We start from the raw sequence: 19598 nt of genomic DNA on the forward strand, positions 1-19598 counted from the left end.
GTACAGACTGTTCCAAGAGCTTCCTATGATGGAACTAATCTAATCTTTATAACAGTGCTCTGAGGTAGATGCTAAAATCTACCAGATACTATGGATGAGATGATGAAGTCATATGCTTGAGATCCCTGAGTAAATAAATAAGAAAGAGACAGAATTCCAACAGCGGCCGTGTGGCTGCAGAGCCTCTCTCCCTCCCTGCCTCACCCTCGAGTCCCCGCCTGGGAGGGCTCAGGGTCACTCACTAAGCATCTTTCCCATGCGCTGCTGTGAGGCTGCTGCTATTAACTTGCTACTATGGAGTAGTCATTAGTAGAAATTATGAAAAAATTTGAAAAAAAATCTTCATATAGCCAGAGATTCTAGCCTGAGATGTCTTTCCTTATTTGCTTATTATTATTTGTAAAAACAGGGTCTCCCTATGTTGCCCAGGCTGGCCTCAAACTCCTGGGCTCAAGTTATCCTCCTGCCTCGGCCTCCCAAAATGCTGGGATTGCAGGCATGAGTGACCGCACCTGGCCACCTTTCCACATTTAAGAGATCCCTGGGATACTGCGAAGCAGGAGTCCATCTCCAGACATGAGGAGCAGGTGGGCTAAAGGAAACAGGACTGGGGAGTCTTGGAGGGGCAGAGCAATGCCCAGGGACACAGAAACTTTTGAATAAAGACAAGAGAGACCGACTCTTCGCCTACATCTAAAGCAAATGAAAACATAAAAATAAATGATGGCAAGAAACTAAACTAAAAATACACTACCCCTGAAAGTATGTGACACTGGATGTACTATCTAATTGGTCTGCCACAGGTAGAGAATGAAGTACTTCAGATAAGTTAATTTATCAAATAACTAAAATTAGATATATAAACTTTACGATTCTGAAAACTTTTTTCCTACAGATGTGTGTACTTTAGGAAACACAGCATATTTAACATTTTTATAAATTTCAGTTGCACACCGTGCAGCTTTCAGGAAGCTTTCACACCGTGCACTGCCCTGCATGCACCTCCCAAGCCTCGGGCTGTTCATGCCTGGCTGTCAGAAGTCACCTCCTGGCTGCCAGAGGGGCGAGGGGGCAGGCTGTTCTTCTCAGTGCTATAAGCAAGCCCAGGACTCCAAGGGAATGATAACAAATGTGTAAAAACCACAGTCACATTAACCTATAGGCTCAGGACCCAGTTCTACTTCCTCCAGACAGCTTTTGGGTACTGGTCTCCCTCTCTGTGTTTACAGCCGTCCTGGGTTTGCTGGGCACCTCCGAGTTCATGGAAGTGCAGCTCCTCACTGCAGTTGGGACACACTCCACTTTGACAAAGGGGGTGTTATTTTCAGCAGTGGGTGAACAGCAGTGAACAAACCAAGCCCCTGCTCCTGGGGCTCAACTGGGATGGGGACGCAGACAACTTAAACACGTGACCACTGGCGTACCTAAGGGCCAGGGAATGCTGCTGACATGATGGGGGTGGCGAGGCCAAGGTCCCAGCCAGGTAGGCTTGAGTTGGTATTGCTACAACCTTGTGATCACTGGCAAACAAGATTTCATGGTGGGAGTGTGACTAGAACTGGATTTCAAAGTTTCTTGAAAGCACTAGTTAGAAAAGACAAGGTACATTGATCTGCACACAGGAGGTGCTCAGCGACGCCAGCACTGATGGGCTCCTCCTGCCTTGAGTGAAGAGCATCTGCCCCTGGACAGTGAACAAAAGGTGGGGCCATTTTATGCCTCCAACAAGACATCTGGCTCAAACTCAACTTCAAAGATTAGAGTAAAAACGAAACTTCCATTCCAAACTACTTATCTTTATTTTGGCAACTGGAACAATCTGTAATTGAACACTAAATTCTATTACTAACTTTTATCCTAAGACTGTGTAGTAATTATTGATTAGTCTCCGTTTAAAGTTGCTGTTTAGATGGAAAAAATGATTTTACATAAAACATTAGTTGAAAGATACAGGCTGGGCATGGTGGCTCACACCTGTAATCCCAACACTTTGGGAGGCCGAGGCAGGTGGATCACTTGAGGTCAGGAGTTCAAGACCAGCCTGGCCAAAATGGCGAAACCCCATCTCTACTAAAAATACAAAAAAGAATTAGCCAGGCATCGTGGTGCATGCCTGCAATCCCAGCTACTCAGGAGGCTGAGGTAGGAGAATCACTGGAACCCAGGAAGCAGAGGGTGCAGTGAGCAGAGATCGTGCCACTGCACTCCACCCTGGGCAACAGAGTGAGACTCCATCTAAAAAAAAAAAAGATACACATTAAGTTTTTCACACAAATTCTTAAGGGCAGATATTACTAAATGCCATTAGAAAAAAAGGAAACCTTTTATCAAGCATTTTTTAAAAATGCTTCTACATTTCTTATTTATAGGTATTCTAATAATACTGCGTGACATTACGGACAACTTAGCCTAAATTATGGAAAATCAAATTATTTAGTAGAACTGCAAGACAATCCTCTCAGTTGTTGTAGTAAGTGTTGCTATAAACATTTAAAACAGCAAAAAAATACCAAATACCTGCACAGTATGTATGATAAATGCATATGATAAAGTAAAAAAAAAAATAGCACACACTGAAAGAAAGCCAACAGAAGAGGGCACTGGGCATGGGCCAGGGAGGGCAAGAATTGGGATGGGGACATGGAGGAGCCCAATCCAAGGCAAGACACAGGTTCAGGCTTTACCACAGTCACAAAGGCTGCTTCTTGTTTTTGTTTTTAGCAGAAGGTAAGCATGAGCAAATTACTTTTTAGAGGTAACTTTGCTGAACTTGTGAAGAATGGTGTGCAAGGTCCAGAGCGACTGCAGGAGAGGGAAGGTGGGATTCCCACAGAGCAGGAGCACAGATAAGCCAAGCAAGGCCCTGCTTGGAAGGCAGCAATCAACAGAGATGCACAGACCTGTGAGGGTGCCGGGACAGCCATGCAACAATGCAGCCCTTTTGCTTCCTGAGCTCACCAGTTCCCTCGCTCCACCTCTGAGAGGTGGTTTGGAGAAACACAGCCCTTCTCAAGAGGGCTGCAAGGTAAGTTTAGTTGGTACATGAGTGCACAGCACATTTTAATTTTTATAGTTATGCATTTATTTTATATGTACTAGACAAACGACCGACAGAAAATTTACCATTTCACAGGTATTAGTGTTTAGGATGAGGCTAAAGTAGGTATTTCTGTTTAAAAAAGTAAATTTGAAGAAAAGCTACCCAGCAAATTATAGTAGTATGTGGTACACAGACAAAAAAAAAATTATGCAGTCGTCCAAATGACTGAAACTGATAAAATGCTGGTCCTGGTCTATGGATTCCCCCTCTGACAAAGCACAGAATACTCGCACCTTCTCCAGAGTCAGTGACCAAAGATGAGAGAGCAGGGCACCCAGCACAGAAACCACCAGGAGCCAATGACTTCCTCCTGTGCTCCATCCTACTCTCTCACTCACACCAGGAATTAAATCCTTTTATGTAGACAGATGGTCAAGAATTGCTACTATAAAGCAACTCAGTATGGTCTGAACTATCAGAGAGCTACATGGAGAAATAGCTACTGCTAAACAGACCTCTCTGCTGATGTTTTTCCCAGCTACTTAAGTCCTGAAAATTTCCACAAGGCTGAGTCAAATCTGCGTTTCATCATCTATAAGAAAGGTACCTATCGAGAACACCCTGCTGGCCAGTGTGTAAATATCTAAAGGAGGACTCAGAAAACACCGGGGAAGTCCAGCCTGCACGTGGTGGCTGGGCTTCAGTGAAGCATGCAGCACAACAGGAGTTGTAAGTAGTAGTTACATCAGCAGCCCTGGAAATTCTGCTCAGAACCAAACTGAACAAATAACATTATCTAAGGCTTACAATTATTTAACTCCCTAAATTTTCTGTCCTCCCAGTAGCACTTTCAAATGCCTAAAAGCAATTAAAAGAAACATTTTTCCAATGTCTCACAGAACCATTAGAAACACAAAATTAATAGCTTCATAAACTATAGCTTCTATTTTATCCATAATAGAATGAAGGTGCATAAACCACATAGTAATTAATCTTTGGACAAAAGCAAACAATAAATGGAATATATGGCTAAGATCCTTTCTTTTTGAGTGTGGCCCAAGATAAAAATTTCTTCCAAAAGGGTAACATTAATGCAATAAGGCTTTTGTGGAATTCTATTTTGTACGAAATTCCTGTTTTCTATTAGCTACTTCTTCCTCTGTGACACAAGCCTCATTCCTTGTGAAAAACACGAAGCAGAAAACATTCGTGAAATCATCAGGTAAAGATCCCATGACCGTTCTATCACTGACACAGTATGTAGGTACATGGTACAACCCCCAAGGGACCACCTTGTGGCATCCTCAGCAACCACAGAGCCACAGGGCAGATGAGTGTTTGCTCCCACTGAGGCTCTGCAACCTCTGCCACCAATACTGGAGAAATCCTCCAACCTCACTGTTTTCTCCTGAACTTGTTCCCTTCTGTTTTTCGATTAATACACAGCAAACAGGCACACCTTCAAGCTGCCAAAAGCATCTTAAACGTTGTACACTTACAATCTTCAAAATATAGTTGTTCAAAAGAGTCATCAAAGTAGTTTTTGAAATAGAACACTTACTTTGACCACATAATTGAACCTTCGGATATCTTGAATTGCACTTGAGAAGTCTAACCGATTAAAGGCTTCTCCCAAGGTGCAATAGCCATGCCTCTGGAAGAGCAACACAGAATTTAAAATTAGTCAATTAGCCAAAAAGAATTGGCAGTTAATGTCAATTAATTGTGCGATTAAAAAAATTTTTGGCAAAGGACAATTTGTTTTTATTTTGAAGACTGATTTTAGATTTAGATGAGAGTATAGTAAAATTGTAGCAATGCTAATAATTTAAGCTGTTTATGTATACCTGAGACACCATTAACTGACATTTTTTACAACCTGCTGAAGTAATGACAAAGACAAATATTTATTAAATATCTTGCTGGTTTGTTTTGTTGGGGACAAACTGGGGTGTGGACGATGTTAAAGCTAAGATCATAAAAAAACTGGATTCATTCTAGGCTACGCAACTAAAAATACATAAATCATCTGATTAACTGCATTGTAAGGATGTAGGTGTTACAAATATCTAGTTGAAACACAGGATTTCTCTGCAGGGGAGGCATGCACTGCCCGAGTTTGAAGTGTAACATGGGATTTCTCTCCAGAGCAGCCATGCACTGCCCAGGCTGGAAGTATGCTCAACCACAAGGGTCAGGGCTGGGAGAGGCGCTTCGGTAGCAAGAAGGTGCCTCTGAAAACCAGCATTGGGATGGAGAGGGCTGAAGGCAAGTGCTGGATGTGACCACGGGCAGCTTTCAGGCTGGGAGCACGGATGCCAAGAACCCAAAACACCAAAAAAACTGGTGCTTAGACCCACAGGTCCAAGAACCGAAGGAAGAAAATGAAACAATTTATTTTCAGTACTGTAAACACTGCTGCTATTCTCTTAGATGTTTTTCTTCCATGATATACCCTTATCCTGTATTGGTTTGTATAGATTAGCACATTAGGTTTCAGAAGTCATTTTAAACTCCATCTTCATCCTCCATATTTGAAATATTTAAAATCTACAGATTTTCAGGTCAAAGTTGTAGAGATAAGTAAGCTAGAAAACAATAATAGAAAACATGAGACGATTGGTCTCAAATTCCAAACAGGTGACTTGAGATGTCCTAGAGAAAGCAGCTGGAGCCATAGCACCTTTGTCTCTAACAGCCGATACACTCAGAGGCTCATGTGCTTCTGTGCGCCAACCCCAATCGCCCTGACGGGTGCACAACTCAACTAAATATACTCATTTAAAACATCCAAATATGTTGACTGAGTGCCTGCTATGTGGAAAACATTTTCCTGGGAACTCTGGGGAAAGGAAACACTCATTTTGATATAGATTATAATCTGAAATCCATCACAGCTGATATTCCACACGATGGTGTAGCAGACACTTTCCAAGGTCACCACCCATCTCACAAAAGGAAATTAAATCTGATTCACAGAGCAGACCACAAAGAGCATGTCTGGACCTAGAACCACAGCATGTAACCTCGGAAGCAGTGAGACACCAGCCAGCATGGACAAGCAGCAGGCACTTGCTCTATACCAGGTGAGGGTGTGGAGACATGACGTGGTGCAGGGACACCAGCACCCAGTCCTAGTTCTGGTCCCTCTCAGCCTTGTTAGGTCCTGGTTCCTAAGATTCCAGGGAACATCCCCACAGCCTCACAATAAGATCCTCCTTTCCTGCATATGCTAGCTTGGATGGGATCCTCTGTTCTGTAATCAGTATGGCAACAGAGCAGATGAAATATTTAATGGTCTTTCATGAGCACTAAATTTTGTTTTTTACAAACTAGGTTAGATTCTGTCAAATAATCGTCTAATGGTGTATTCGAGTGTATATTAAGGATCTGATTCATTCTATACCCACTAACCATAACCAAACAGATTAAGTTTTCTTTCTCAGAATCTAATCCTTCAGTTTCTTGGAAGCTGGACTAGTTTCAGAGCATCTACAAACATTTCTGGAATATTTAACTTACCCTGAAATAACAGACGATAGACAGTAATTCCCTAAATTATTTTCCCCAGTTGTTGCAAAATAAAGCAAATGCAGAGTTTCTAGGACTATAAAAGGAACTCAACTTCCCGGATCCTAGTAAAGAAACAGGAAACAGCTTGAAGCTCTCTGGTTTGTTTTATGGCTCATGAAAAAGCTTTAGCCCAACTTGGCAAAAGAAAGGCAGGGAAAGAGTTCATATGGCTCTGCACAAACCCAACCCAATTACTAATTTCATGTTAGCCACTCTTTATGTGGAATGAGAGGGCTCACAGATGCCCTGCCCTCCAAAACACGCCACAGGGAGGACACATTCCCATCAGCATCAGGGGTTCATGCTAACACAGAGAAAATGCGTATGACTGCAGGAGTCCATGCTTGGTTTAAATAGCCCTGCTGTTGACTCAGATATGTACAGGTAGGCAGGAACCACACACTGTACACATATACCACATGCCACCACACACCATACATCCCACAGACCAATGTGTGCATAAATACATGCACAACCATACATACACACCATACATACAACACACATACACCATACACACAACACACACCAATGTGTGCACAAATACACAGCCACATACCACATGCACATGCAAGCACACACAATGGAGAATCACTGCCTCAAAAGCTCCTCATATGCTATTATCTGTCAGAATGTGAACCATAGATCTGATATTGCAAAAGAAATGTGTTTTATGCAACTTTATTAATACATTTATTTAATGTGACTCCATATTCAACAGAAACAATCCAAGATACTCTCTTATTTATAATAGAATACTTACTTCTTTTGTGCTTTCTTTATGGACATAGATCCATTTTTCATGATAAAAACCTAGAATAAAAATTACCTTTGTTTTTAAAATCTGGCAAATCATTTCAAAATGAAGATTTTAAAGGAATTTAAATAATTGGACATATTAACAAAATTATCTGACTTACTATATTGACAAGAAATGCTTTTACTTGGTTGAATGCAAACAGAATTGCTTTGTTTCTTAAATCAGTTTAAGATATGAACAATGATTTCAGACAGTACCAAGTCCTAGTAACTTAGAAGAAAATTAGTATTATTAATGACTGAAGCCATATGAAGACATAAATGATTATAAAATGCAATTACATTACTACATTCCTATGTACCCTAATAAAAAGTTCTATTCTTCTGTTGCTGTGTATAGTACTCCATAGAAACAAATTTTTCAGATAAATCTTAAAAGTTTCAAGAATCACACTAACTGTATTCTCCATGTGACCCTATCTTCTTCATAAAGTAGTCCCCCCGTATTCACAGTTTCATCTTCTACAGTTTCAATTACCCACAGTCAGCTTTGGTTTGAAAACATTAAGTGGAAAATTCCAGAAATAAACCATTCATAAGTTTTAAATTGTGTGCCATTCTGGGTGGTGTCATGAAATCTCACACCGTCCTGCTCTGTCCTGCCTGGGATGCAAATCCTCCCTTTGTCAAGCGAGTCCTACACTACCCGCCCCTTGGTCACTCAGTAGCCGTCTTGGTTATCGGATCACCTGTTGAGATATCACAGTGCTTGTGTTTAAAGAACCCTTATTGCACTTCATAATAGCCCCAAAGTGCAAGAGCAGTGATGGTGGCCATCTTGCTATAACTGTTTCATTTTATTATTATTCTCGTTAATCTCTTACTGCACCTAATTTATAAATTAAACTTTATTATAAGTGTGTATATACAGAAAAAAAAACATAGTATCCATAAGGTTTGGTAGTATCCACAGTTTCAGGCATCCACTGGAGGTCTATCCCCTGAGGTAAGGAAGCCTACTATACATTAACATGTGTCTTGGTAACTCACAGATATGCTGCATGATAGAACGCTATGCCCTCTCACAGATAGGTCCCACCTCCAGCCTTCCCCTGCTGCCATCTAACATCCTAAACTCCAGCTCTGAATGTCTGTCTCCTGCTCTGAATCTTCAGTGACTTCGAAACTCAAGTCAGGACACCTCTCAGTTTGGCCTCACTGCTCAAGATTGAGCTGAATTCATGACCATAATTCAAGCATTCAGATTCATGGGCTGTTTTGTGGGTTTTGCTATCTCTTATTTTGTTTTTGCACATCTTACCCACTGAAACGTTGGGCTGCAAAAAGTTTGATCACTAAATATGTAGGCAATGCTGGATACTGGGCTGTTATTTACATATTTGTATCACCTTTTATTTCATAAGATAGCATTGTCAGAGTAATTTAGTATTTCAACATAATCAACAAGTAAAATAAAATTAATGAGAATGATCTTACTTTGAGTATTTGTGTCATTTCTAAAATGGTCCTTTTTCCTTTTTTTGGATGCATATTCATGCTCTTCATTATTGACTATTTCTCCATCTTCACTATTTAAGATACTGAAATAAAGACATATTCTATTAAAATATTTTTTCAGGGAGATCTTCATTTGGCTTTTCTTTTGTAAAAGGATACAAATACTTCAAAGTGACAGACTGTGGGCTTGAAATCACAGGGGTAATGTCTAATACATTTTTGTTTCATTTTGAGAAATAAGATGTATCCTGGTTCTTTGAGAATATTGTACCAGAAAGTGCTGAACATGTTTTAGAATCTCTGAAGGGTCTTGATATGCTTATCCAAGGTAGTTTCAAACATCAAAATGGCTTATTAAAACAGAGATTTTTTTAAAAAACAACTATTAAAACTCCAGAAAAAAGATGGTAAGAACATGATGATACCCAATACTGACCAATGACTTGATGTGTCCCTTACCCCATGCTGAGTAACCACTCAACATTTCTGTTTACTCCCTATATGTTTAAGGGTTTAACTGAAGTTAATTATTACTGCACTGAACATGTTTTTATTAAGCACCAACCACATACACTGTTAACACATTTAACTGGAACCAGGTGAAGTGACATGTATATTTTTACTATTTAAATACGTTTAATTAAAAGCTGTTCTTTGTGAAACAAGAAAATCAAATCATAAGGCAATAACTAAACAATGGGAACACCTTTTACTTTTTAAAAAAATGTCTTCCTTACAGAAAAAAAAAACCTGTAAATAGTAATCCACATCCTCAAAACTAAAGATGTGTAAAATTTTTATTTTCCACACACTGATAACAGATTTTCAGTGTAAAGTGAGGAAGGAAGCTCTGTGGAGACAAGCTGGTTGGTGGAGGCATGCAAGAGTGGTGCTCAAATCCAAGGAACTAAAATTGCTTATTTGCCGGTCATCGTTCTTTGACAAGAAAATTGTATACAAGCCCCTTTCCACTCACCACTATTCACTTTTAGTAAAAAACAGCTGACTTTGCCAAATGAGTCACTTTCTCACTGTCAGAACAGACTTAAACAGCAGTGCCAACAGTTGTAAATCATCAAGACAAGCAAAGCACATTTGAAAAACATACAAACAACTGAACTTTTTGTGGCAGACATTATAACAGCAATTTATGGAAATGTGTTGATTTATGGAAATGTGTTTGTATTTTATATTTAGTCTTACACCAGTTTGTTATCATTGATTGAAATACTGAATGTAGAAGCTTTAGAATCTAAAAGGGTTTTCTAACGAAAATTACAAACATATCAAAGGAAAAGCACAAATACAATGTTCTCCAGAAATAGTGTCGCAGAAATAAAGACAGAATATGGAAGGAGACAGGATTGCTGACTAATCTCATATGTACAGGGAGAACGACACTCCATGCAGCTTAGCTCCAACATGTGAGCGTGGGACAGAAAAGCAAGGTGAACCTAAAGACATCCCATGGACACACTGAGCTGGAACCAACTCTGCCCATAGGTGGTGGGGCCAGGTTCAGATGCTTGCAGTAACCGCATCCTCCTGTGAATCTGGGTCTACATGGCTGTGGCTCCCTGGGGGCTACCCACACTGTGGATTCCACAGGTGGAGGTGACCTTCTTGGGCACTGCTGGGACACTTCCTGGGCCTGCCTGGGCAGTGGTAGGGCTCAGAGAACTTCAGCGTTAGGGCCTTGGGGAGTCTATGTCAGACTTGAGGACCAAGCCTGGGCTCACAAATGACAACTAGGCTACTATTTTTACAAAGTATTTTAAATGGGGAAAAAGCCATTATTTTTTGGTTGTGGGTTTTACACTGTCAGGTAAACAAAAATGTACAAGTAGAGAAGAAAGATGAATGCTTCTGAAATTTAAATTTGACACATTAAAATGTTAATAAAGGAGTATTTAATTTATAAATCTTTCTATTCTGCATGTGTCAACTACATTTCATAGCAATCAACTACATGTCATAGCAAACATGTTCTCTTTTTATAACCTTCAAGACAAACATCACCTACTCTGACTTAAAAACAAGGGAACCTGTCCAACAACTTGATTAAAAAATGTCAAACAACTTCAACAGACACTTCTCCAAAGAAGAGACACAGCAGCCAACAAGCCCATGAAAAGATGCTCCACATCACGAATTGTTAGGTAAATGCAAATTAACACTACAATGAGATACTACCTCACGCTCATTATGAGGCTACTGGCAAATTAAAAAAAAAAAAAGAAAGTTTAACAAGTATTGACATGGATGTGGGGAAACTGGATCCTTCGTGCAATGTTGGTGGAAATGGAGGATGGTATAGCTACTATAGGAAACAGTATGGAGGTTCTTCAAAAAATTAAACACAGAATTACCATATGATCCAGCAATTCCACTTCTGGGTATATATTCAAAAGAACTGAAAGCAGAGAATGAAAGATACTTGTATACCCACATTCATAGCAGTATTACTTGCAACAGATAAACATGGAAGCAACCCACATGTCCATCAGTGGATGAATAGATAAGCAAAATGTGGTGTACACTATACACAATATGGAATATTATTCAGTCTGAAAAAGGAAATGCTGACACATGCTACAATAGGGCTGAAACTTGAGGACGTTACGCTGAGATAAGACAGTCACAAAAGGACACATACTGTCTGATTTGACTTATGTGAGGTACTCAGAAAAGTCAAATCATACAGACAGAAAACAGAAAGCCAGTTACCAGGTCTGGGGGTGCTGGAGAATGAAAAGTTAGCGTTTAATGGGGACAGAGTTTCAGTGTGGGAAGATGTAAAAGTTCTAGAGAAGGATGGTGGTAATGGTTGCACAATAATGTGAATGTACTTAACACCACTGAACTGTACATTTAAAAATGGTTAGGAAGGCAATTTTATGTTATGTGTATTTTGCTGCAATTAAAGATAAACAGTGTGCAAGAGAGGAGAGGAAGTAGCAGCTTGTCTTGTTCATGCTGTCTGAGGTGCATGTCGGAGGGATGGGGTGGGGGCGGGAAGTGTTAAAAACAAAGAATAGAACGTTATACAACACAAGCGGAAAACACAGGGCACAAACGCACTTGTATAAAACACAGAGTTTCCATAAACTTAAAACATGTCTGAATGATGGAGCTAACAGCCCTTAACTCCCCACACCCAGGCTGCACCACAGCATATGTCACCCCCTTGCTTGCAAATGTGCCCAAAAGGCAATGACATTCCAAGTTTCCTCTGACAAGCCCAAGGACAGGGCATGAGTTTTCCAAGTTCCTTTCCATTCAAGAAAAGGAAGAGAAGAGAATAGAGAAGAATCAACAAAACAACTCCAAATAGAAGTAAACGAGAGCCAAGAACGGAACTATTTCTCATAATTAAACCCCAATTTCTATAAATTACAATCCTCATTCTAGTGATGACCTATAATAAGATTTGCATTTTCCTCTGATGGTATTTCCCTTAAGAGATGGATAACAAGGTCTTAATCTTCATCTCCCAGACCACTCTAGGGTTCTAAGCACAGGCTTTACAGAAATGTGCTGTTATGGGCCATCATCTTCAAATCATTTCCACACAAGTCTAGGAAAATAAGACAGGCTAGGATAAGCCTCCAGTTTTTAAAATTGCTAATCAAGGGCATCAGTTCTTAACTATATTGCTGTAAGATATGTCACAAAACTTTTGTTACCAGTAAGAAAAATGACCAACATTTGTGAATGATTTAATTTTTAATAATTATTAAAGTACTACACTACACATAATAAAAAATAATACATACTCATAAACTCAACTTCCCTGAGTTGCCAGTAGGAAGCAACCCTGCCGAGCCCTTGATTTTGGATTTCTGGCCTCCAGAATTGTGAGGACATACATTTCTGTGGTTTTAAGCCACCGAGTTTGTGGTTATGGAATCCCAGAAAATGAATAAAATTATCTATCTTTTCAAGCTACTTCAGTTTGATATTGATTATGAAAGGTACATATATGCTATCAAACAGAAGAGACTTTAGGGAGAAAAAATCTCGCATAAATGCAACAAGTTGCCATGACTCTAAGTGCCAAGGTCATATAACATGCAGACTGTGATAATTTCACCAAAACCAAAACAAAGTGGAACAAATCCTCAGACACAGTTGCTGATAATTCCCACCCTGGCCTCCTCTGACATTTCCTTTCGATCAATTTGGCTGCACCTCTTCTGTCAAGCAGGAGCTGGACGACATTTTGGTCAGCTCCTCCCCAGAAGGGAGCTACAATCTCTGCTCTAACAATCCCCAGTTGTTGTCTTAAGTCACACTGTGTTCATCAATGGCTACCTACTAAACTTAGCTTTTTATCTGTACATTTTCCAATCAGGTCGTATTATTTTCTCCTGGTAGGCAAATGTTTACGTTTATCCATTTTCCTGATATAAAGCTACTTCGTATCAGTGTGTTATTAGTCTCTAATTATAAGAAGATAATCCAGAAGAGAAAGTCCAGTCAATTTTATATAAGTTAAAAAAAAGATGTGAAACCTATTTTCAGAATTAACATTTCCTTCCTAAACATCTAACACGACACACTTACGGACTCTTAACACACCCTTATTACATGAAGGAGCAGCAGAGCAGAGGGCGGCAAGAGCACCAAGGCCAGGTGGAGCCACAGCCAATGTGGGCCCATCTCACTCCGCAGGGAGAAGCAACTGCACTGTGCACAGAGTGCAATCTGGCAGAAGGGAAACGCCGTCTTAAAGAGCTTCAGATGCAGCAACCTTGAGGAAGGGCTGTGCCAGAAAGTCCACCAGATGAGGCCGCAAACCTATCAAAGGGCATCAGACACTCTGTGCACAGGGTACACAAAACAATGCCTCCCACATTCTGTGACTTCCTGCGCGTGCCACTTGGACCACCACACTCCCTACCTGCACCATCTTACCTGGACAGACTAAATCTCAGCCACCTCATGACTAGGATATTAACATGGCTTCCAGTTCTATAAATTCCTCCCCCTTAAGAATGCATGTCTGTAAAATCAGAAATGATGAAAACTGGACTCGTGAGTGGCTTTGTAGTAGGGATTACAGGTCCAGAATAGAATAGGTTCAGTAACATATTTAAGATATTTAAGGGAAAAAATATAAGCCAAAGATTTAACATCTAAATAGTGACTATCAAGGGTAAAAGTCACACATATTTTTTATGAGTACACACAAACACAGGAAGTACGGTGACCAGGAGCTGAGGGATGACCCACTAAAGAATAAGCTCCGGAAACCAAAATGACTAGAGGCAGATGCAAAGGTGAGCTGCAGGTGGTCTGTATTTATCTGTGGAGCTGCTGGCACATGACGGTGATAAAAGTGCAGCATGCCATGGTTACCAGCTTGGACAATGCAGACAAAGAACAACCACCAGAGAAGTGGTAGGGGCGGGCAGAAGATGTGCAGGGGCCAACTGGGACTGGGGTGTCCATCAGCTAACTGCAGTATCAGGTACTATGGGGAGCCAACCAAAGAAACTAAGTGTTTGCTATAAAGGCATTAGGATAAAAGTGGAAAAAAAAGAGGAAGAAAGCCCTCTTAAATACCAAAAGGGTAAAAGCAAATAAAATAGAACAAGGTGGTTCCCTGTTATCTGTGATGTAAAAAATGGACTTGGCTCACCTATTAAATGGAAAACAGTCTTGGATTGGCTCACAAAGCAAAATCAAACACCATACTGCATATAAGATATACAGCTATAAAAGGCTGGGAAAATATATAGAGAATTTATAGGACTCAGAAAAAAAGTAACTGTCACAGGAAACTTTATAGCATTAAATACCTATATCAATACAAATTTAAATAATAAAAATAAATTATTTAAACATATAACTGAAAAAGCCAGAAAAAGAATAAGTGAACCAAAAGAAAGGGGTGAATTATTACAAATAAAAGCAGATATTATTAAGTAGAAAAAGAATAGAACTAAGAAGTAAATCCAAAAGCTGGCTCTCAAGAGAAAATAATCAACCAAAACAAACCACTAGGTATCTGATTAGAAAAAAAAAAAAATAAGAAAGTTACAAGTGCTAACAGAAGAAAATTTAAACATTGTAAAAGATAAGGAAAAGAAAGAGATAGAGAGAAAAACGTGTAGATTAAAAGAGACTTTAAAAACATATCAAATTTTAAGAATAAAACAACACTAAACTATAGTGTCTAGGGATATACACTTGGTGATAAAACTATAAAGATTAGGGAAATGATTACCATAAGAGTTTGGGAAGTGGTTATTTTTGGGGAGAGGAAGTAGGTTATAATAGAAATGGGACATGTGGTGGGCGCTTCTGGGATGATTGATAAAGTTCTATTCCTTGACCTGGGTGTGGTTACAAGGATGTTTCCTTTATAAAAATGAAGAAAAACATTAAAAAATCATTACAGGCAACTTTATAAAACTCTTTGCAGTAAGTTAGAAGTAGATGAAACATTTTTTAAAAATATTAAATTTAATGCTATTCCAATACAAAATCAAGTTTTTTTCTTAGAGCTAAACAAGTTAATTATAAAATGCATTTAAGAACAAGAAGAAACTATCCTAAAATTCATATGGAATGAAAAGAGAGCCCAAATAGCCAAAGCAATCCTAAGCAAAAAGAACAAAGCCAGAGGCATCACACTACTCAACTTCAAACTATACTATACAGCCCCAGTAACCAAAACAGCTTCTGTACTGGTACAAAAACAGACTCATAGACCAATGAACAGAACAGAAAACTCAGAAATAAAGCCACACACCTACAACCATCCAATCTTTGACAAGGCCAGCAAAAGCAGCAGTGGAAAAAGACCATACTATTCAATATATGGTGTTGGAATAACTGGCTAGCCACATACAGAAGACTGAAGCCAGACCCCTACCTTTCACCATATACAAAAATTAACTCAAAATATATTAAAGATTTCAATGTAAGACCTCAAACTGTAAGATCCTGGAAGATAACCTAGGAAATACTCTTCTTGACGTTGGCCTTGGCAAAGAATTTTTGGCTAAGTTCCCAAAAACGATTGCAACAAAACAAAATTGGCAAGTAGAATTTAACTAAATGAAAGAGCTTCTGCACAGCAAGAGAAACGTTTGACAGAGAATACAGACAACCTACTGAATGAGAGAAACTATTTGCAAACTATGCATCTGACAAAGGCCTAATATCCAGAATCTACAGGGAACTTATGCAAAAAACGTTCACTTTCTGTCTGTGTTCACGTCACCAAGAGAATAGAAAGGAAAAGGGAAGAATGCAAAAGTCAAAGACACGTCACCCTCCTTGAGACAGCCCTCCAGTCCAGGCCAAATCTCAGCCTGCCCTTGGTCCGCTGTGGTTGGGCCTGCACCCAAGCCATGAGCACACGCAGCAATTGTGGCAGCAGAAGCTTCCTCTGGGCTCAGACTCAGGCTGATGCTGCGTCAGGACCTGCCGCGGTCTCGGCTGGGCTTCCTGGGACTCGGTGGTTGTGGGCTGATTGTAAAGCACGGAATGACTCTTAGAAACTGGGCGTCATTCTTTGTGGTTTTCCAAGCTTGGTCTCTGATGATACTCCAGGTCTTAGGAGACATGCTGAATATTTATTATGCTTACATTCAAGCAACATTAACCCTTAAGGTTGATGTAGCTCCCCGTCTTTTTTTCCCAGAAGGAGGAGCACTGAAGGAACACTTTTCCAGTATGGATTCTTTCCAGCTCCGAGAAGCTGGAGGCACACGGATCCCTCGGCCAGCTCTCATCTATGGACGTGCTGTAGTCACAAGGACTGTGACTAAGGCTCAGTCCCTGAGGACTGCCTTGGCATGGGCTGCTTTAGGCTGTAAACACCCAGTTTTATCCACTTTATGTGAAGAAAGCCAACAAGGGGCATGGAGTGAGTTCCGCAGGTTTTAGCGGCTGCGGCGGCTGGTGCTCAGTGGGGATGATGGCGGGAAGGCGCCTCCCTCTGTGGGCCCCGAGGTCTGTGCGGGAATCAGCTCTGCAGCTGTGTCCAGGGGCAGCCGTAGACCACACACGGCAGGCTCACAGCTCTGTTCCATGAGAACTTTATACACAAAAGCAGACGGGCTGGGCTTGGCCTCTGGATCATAATCTGCTGACCCCTGGGTAAGAAATTTTAAATATTTACTTATTTCTGTTCAACAGAAGGGGTGATATACTGAGGAGTGAATAATGGGAAAGATCTGATTCGGCTGTATCAGGAAGGACTGGTGTAAATTCAACTTATTAACTGAATTCACAGTATTCGTGTTTTATGCCTTTAGGGGTTAAAAATGGGTCACACACGAGCAGCATGCACTTCACTGGCGTGGCAGGGCACCTCAGTGTTTACATGTGTGGTTCCCATGCTTACCAGGGCTGGAGGCCCCTGTGAGTAGTGAAGTGCATGTGGAGTTCTGGATACTTTTCCTGGCTTTCTCTATTTGTGTGAGCTTGTGCAGTTAGAGGTTTGGGCTGAATTTGGGTAGAAATGGGTGGCTCACAGGCTGCAAAAGTTCTGTGGACACTTTTTCCCCCAGCTGATTAATGTTGTAAATATTAGAATATTGTTACATAAAAGTCTGGATTTTTAGTTTCTTTCACATTGGAATAGCTGCCAACATTGGGCCTGCATTCATCTCTCTAGGGCAACGTCGGCTGCAGCTGAGATGGCTGCTCCCCGGTGGGGTGTGTGCTCGGCCTGCAGTCCCCGCCCTCCGGACTCCATTCGCCTCCACTCTCAGGTTTGCACCTCGTCATTGTCTTCTAATTTTGCATCCCTGGACTGCGTGACCTACAAGGCTCTCAGCACAACAAGACTCTATGATTCTGTCTATTGGAACAAAAAGCCAGTGAGGCAAGTGTATCATCCTGTTGATGAATTCACAGCATTAACTCTGGGAGTTGGGGACAGTGTGTATTCTTCCTCCAGACACTCTCTGTTTCTCCTGGATGGAAAGGTTCTGCTACTTGTCCCGTGGTCAGGCCCAGCCAATGGAACGGAATGGAAGTGACTCTGCCCCTTATTGGCAGAAACTTTAAAAGCCGCACAACGTTCCTGCACCCTCCCCTCTGCCATGAGCCTGGCAGTGCTCAGGATGGGAAAATTATCTCACCTGGGCCTGAGGATACAGGAGCTACCCCCAGCCTGCAGTGGAAGAGAAGCATGGACAAGTGATTAAACTTTGTGTTTTCAAGCCACAGAGGTTTTTTGAAGTTGTTTGCTACCATGCTTTGTCCCTACAAACACAGTCATGGAGAAGGCCAGTGGCAGAGCCTGAGCCGTTCGCGCATCTGTTCACCAGTATCCAGAATAACAATAGATTTTTGAAACATTCCTGAGAAAATTCTGGGAGTTGCATACCGGCCAGTCTTATTCTCTAAAGTTGTTCCTTCTAAAGGGTGTGATGACCGAAAATTTCAGAAAAGCAAACCACCGCTGAAAGGCAACGTTATTTCTGTTGGCAGAAGGCGGCCTGAGCAATCTAGATTTTCCACGGTTCACCAACTAGTTTTTAAGGAAATATGGCTGTGAGAGGAATAAAACATGATTCCTACCTTTAAGGAACTCAGAGAAGTGAATTAAAGGAAGTCACAGATCAGACAACCAACCACACAAAGTTTCTAAGAGCAAACTGTTCAGGTCGGCAAGTCACTCTTATCCACTGTTTTGCCTTCTAAGGTTTCAGTTACTCTCAGTCAGTCATGGTCCAAAAACATTAAATGAAAAATTCCAGAAATAAACAATACACACGTGTTAAATCATGTTTCATTCTGAGTAGCTTGATGAAGTCTCATGCCGTCCCACTCAGCCCCACCTGGGGTGTGACACCTCCCTCTGTCGAGCAGATCCACCCTGTCTATACTACCTGCTTTTCCAGGAGATCCACCCTGTCTAGACTACCTGCGTGGCCAGCAGATCCACCCTATCTACACTACCTGCTTTTCCAGCAGATCCACCCTGTCTACACTACCTGCCTGTCCAGCAGATCAACACTGTCTACACTACCTGCTTTTCCAGCAGATCCACACTGTCTACACTACCTGCTTTTCCAGCAGATCCACCCCGTCTACACTACCTGCCTGGCCAGCATATCCACCCTGTCTACACTACCTGCTTTTCCAGTAGATCTGCCCTATCTACAATACCTGCTTGTCCAGCAGAACCACCCTGTCTATACTACCTGCCTGTCCAGCAGAACCACCCTGTCTATACTACCTGCCTGTCCAGCAGATCCACCCTGTCTACACTACCTGCCTGGCCAGCAGATCCGCCCTGTCTATACTACCTGCCGCTCCAGCAGATCCACCCTGTCTACACTACCTGCCTGTCCAGCAGACCCGCCCTGTCTACACTACCTGCCTGGTCAGTATATCCACCCTATCTACACTACCTGCCTGGCCAGCATATCCGCCCTGTCTACACTACCTCCCAGCCCAGCAGATCCGCCCTGTCTACACTACCTGCCTGGCCAGTAGATCCACGCTATCTACACTACCTGCCTGGCCAGCAGATCCACCCTGTCAACACTACCTGCTTGTCCAGCAGGTCCACACTGTCTACACTACCTGCCTGTCCAGCAGGTGCACCCTATCTACACTACCTGACTGTCCAGCAGATCCACCCTGTCTACACTACCTGCCTGTCCAAAAGATCCACCCTGTCTATATTACCTGCCTATACAGCAGAACTACCCTGTCTACACTACCAGCCTCCCCA

General features: G+C 41.4%; 2 long non-coding RNA genes across 2 annotated transcripts in view, besides 1 other annotated feature; both read left to right on the plus strand.

The window, feature by feature from the left end:
* Positions 1–8868, plus strand: part of LINC01409 (long intergenic non-protein coding RNA 1409) — a 31268-nt gene extending 22400 nt beyond the window's left edge. Inside the window, exons 3-6 of the long non-coding RNA NR_187359.1 lie at positions 2722–3025; positions 3579–3769; positions 6020–6126; positions 8461–8868. This is a non-coding gene — a long non-coding RNA (long intergenic non-protein coding RNA 1409). The remainder of the gene's footprint in view (positions 1–2721; positions 3026–3578; positions 3770–6019; positions 6127–8460) is intronic.
* FAM87B (family with sequence similarity 87 member B) lies at positions 16174–18637 on the plus strand. The gene is made up of 2 exons (NR_103536.1): positions 16174–17005; positions 17526–18637. It is a non-coding gene; the product is annotated as a family with sequence similarity 87 member B (long non-coding RNA).
* Positions 16189–16288: an enhancer, noted in NCBI's record as "active region_2". NCBI's record gives its function as "activates an Ori minimal core promoter by ATAC-STARR-seq in GM12878 lymphoblastoid cells {active_cell/tissue: GM12878}" and the evidence as "EXISTENCE:reporter gene assay evidence [ECO:0000049][PMID:35858748]".
* Positions 18638–19598: the final 961 nt, after the last annotated feature.

Source organism: Homo sapiens, chromosome 1 (assembly GCF_000001405.40).
Source record: "Homo sapiens chromosome 1, GRCh38.p14 Primary Assembly".
NCBI lineage: Eukaryota > Metazoa > Chordata > Mammalia > Primates > Hominidae > Homo > Homo sapiens.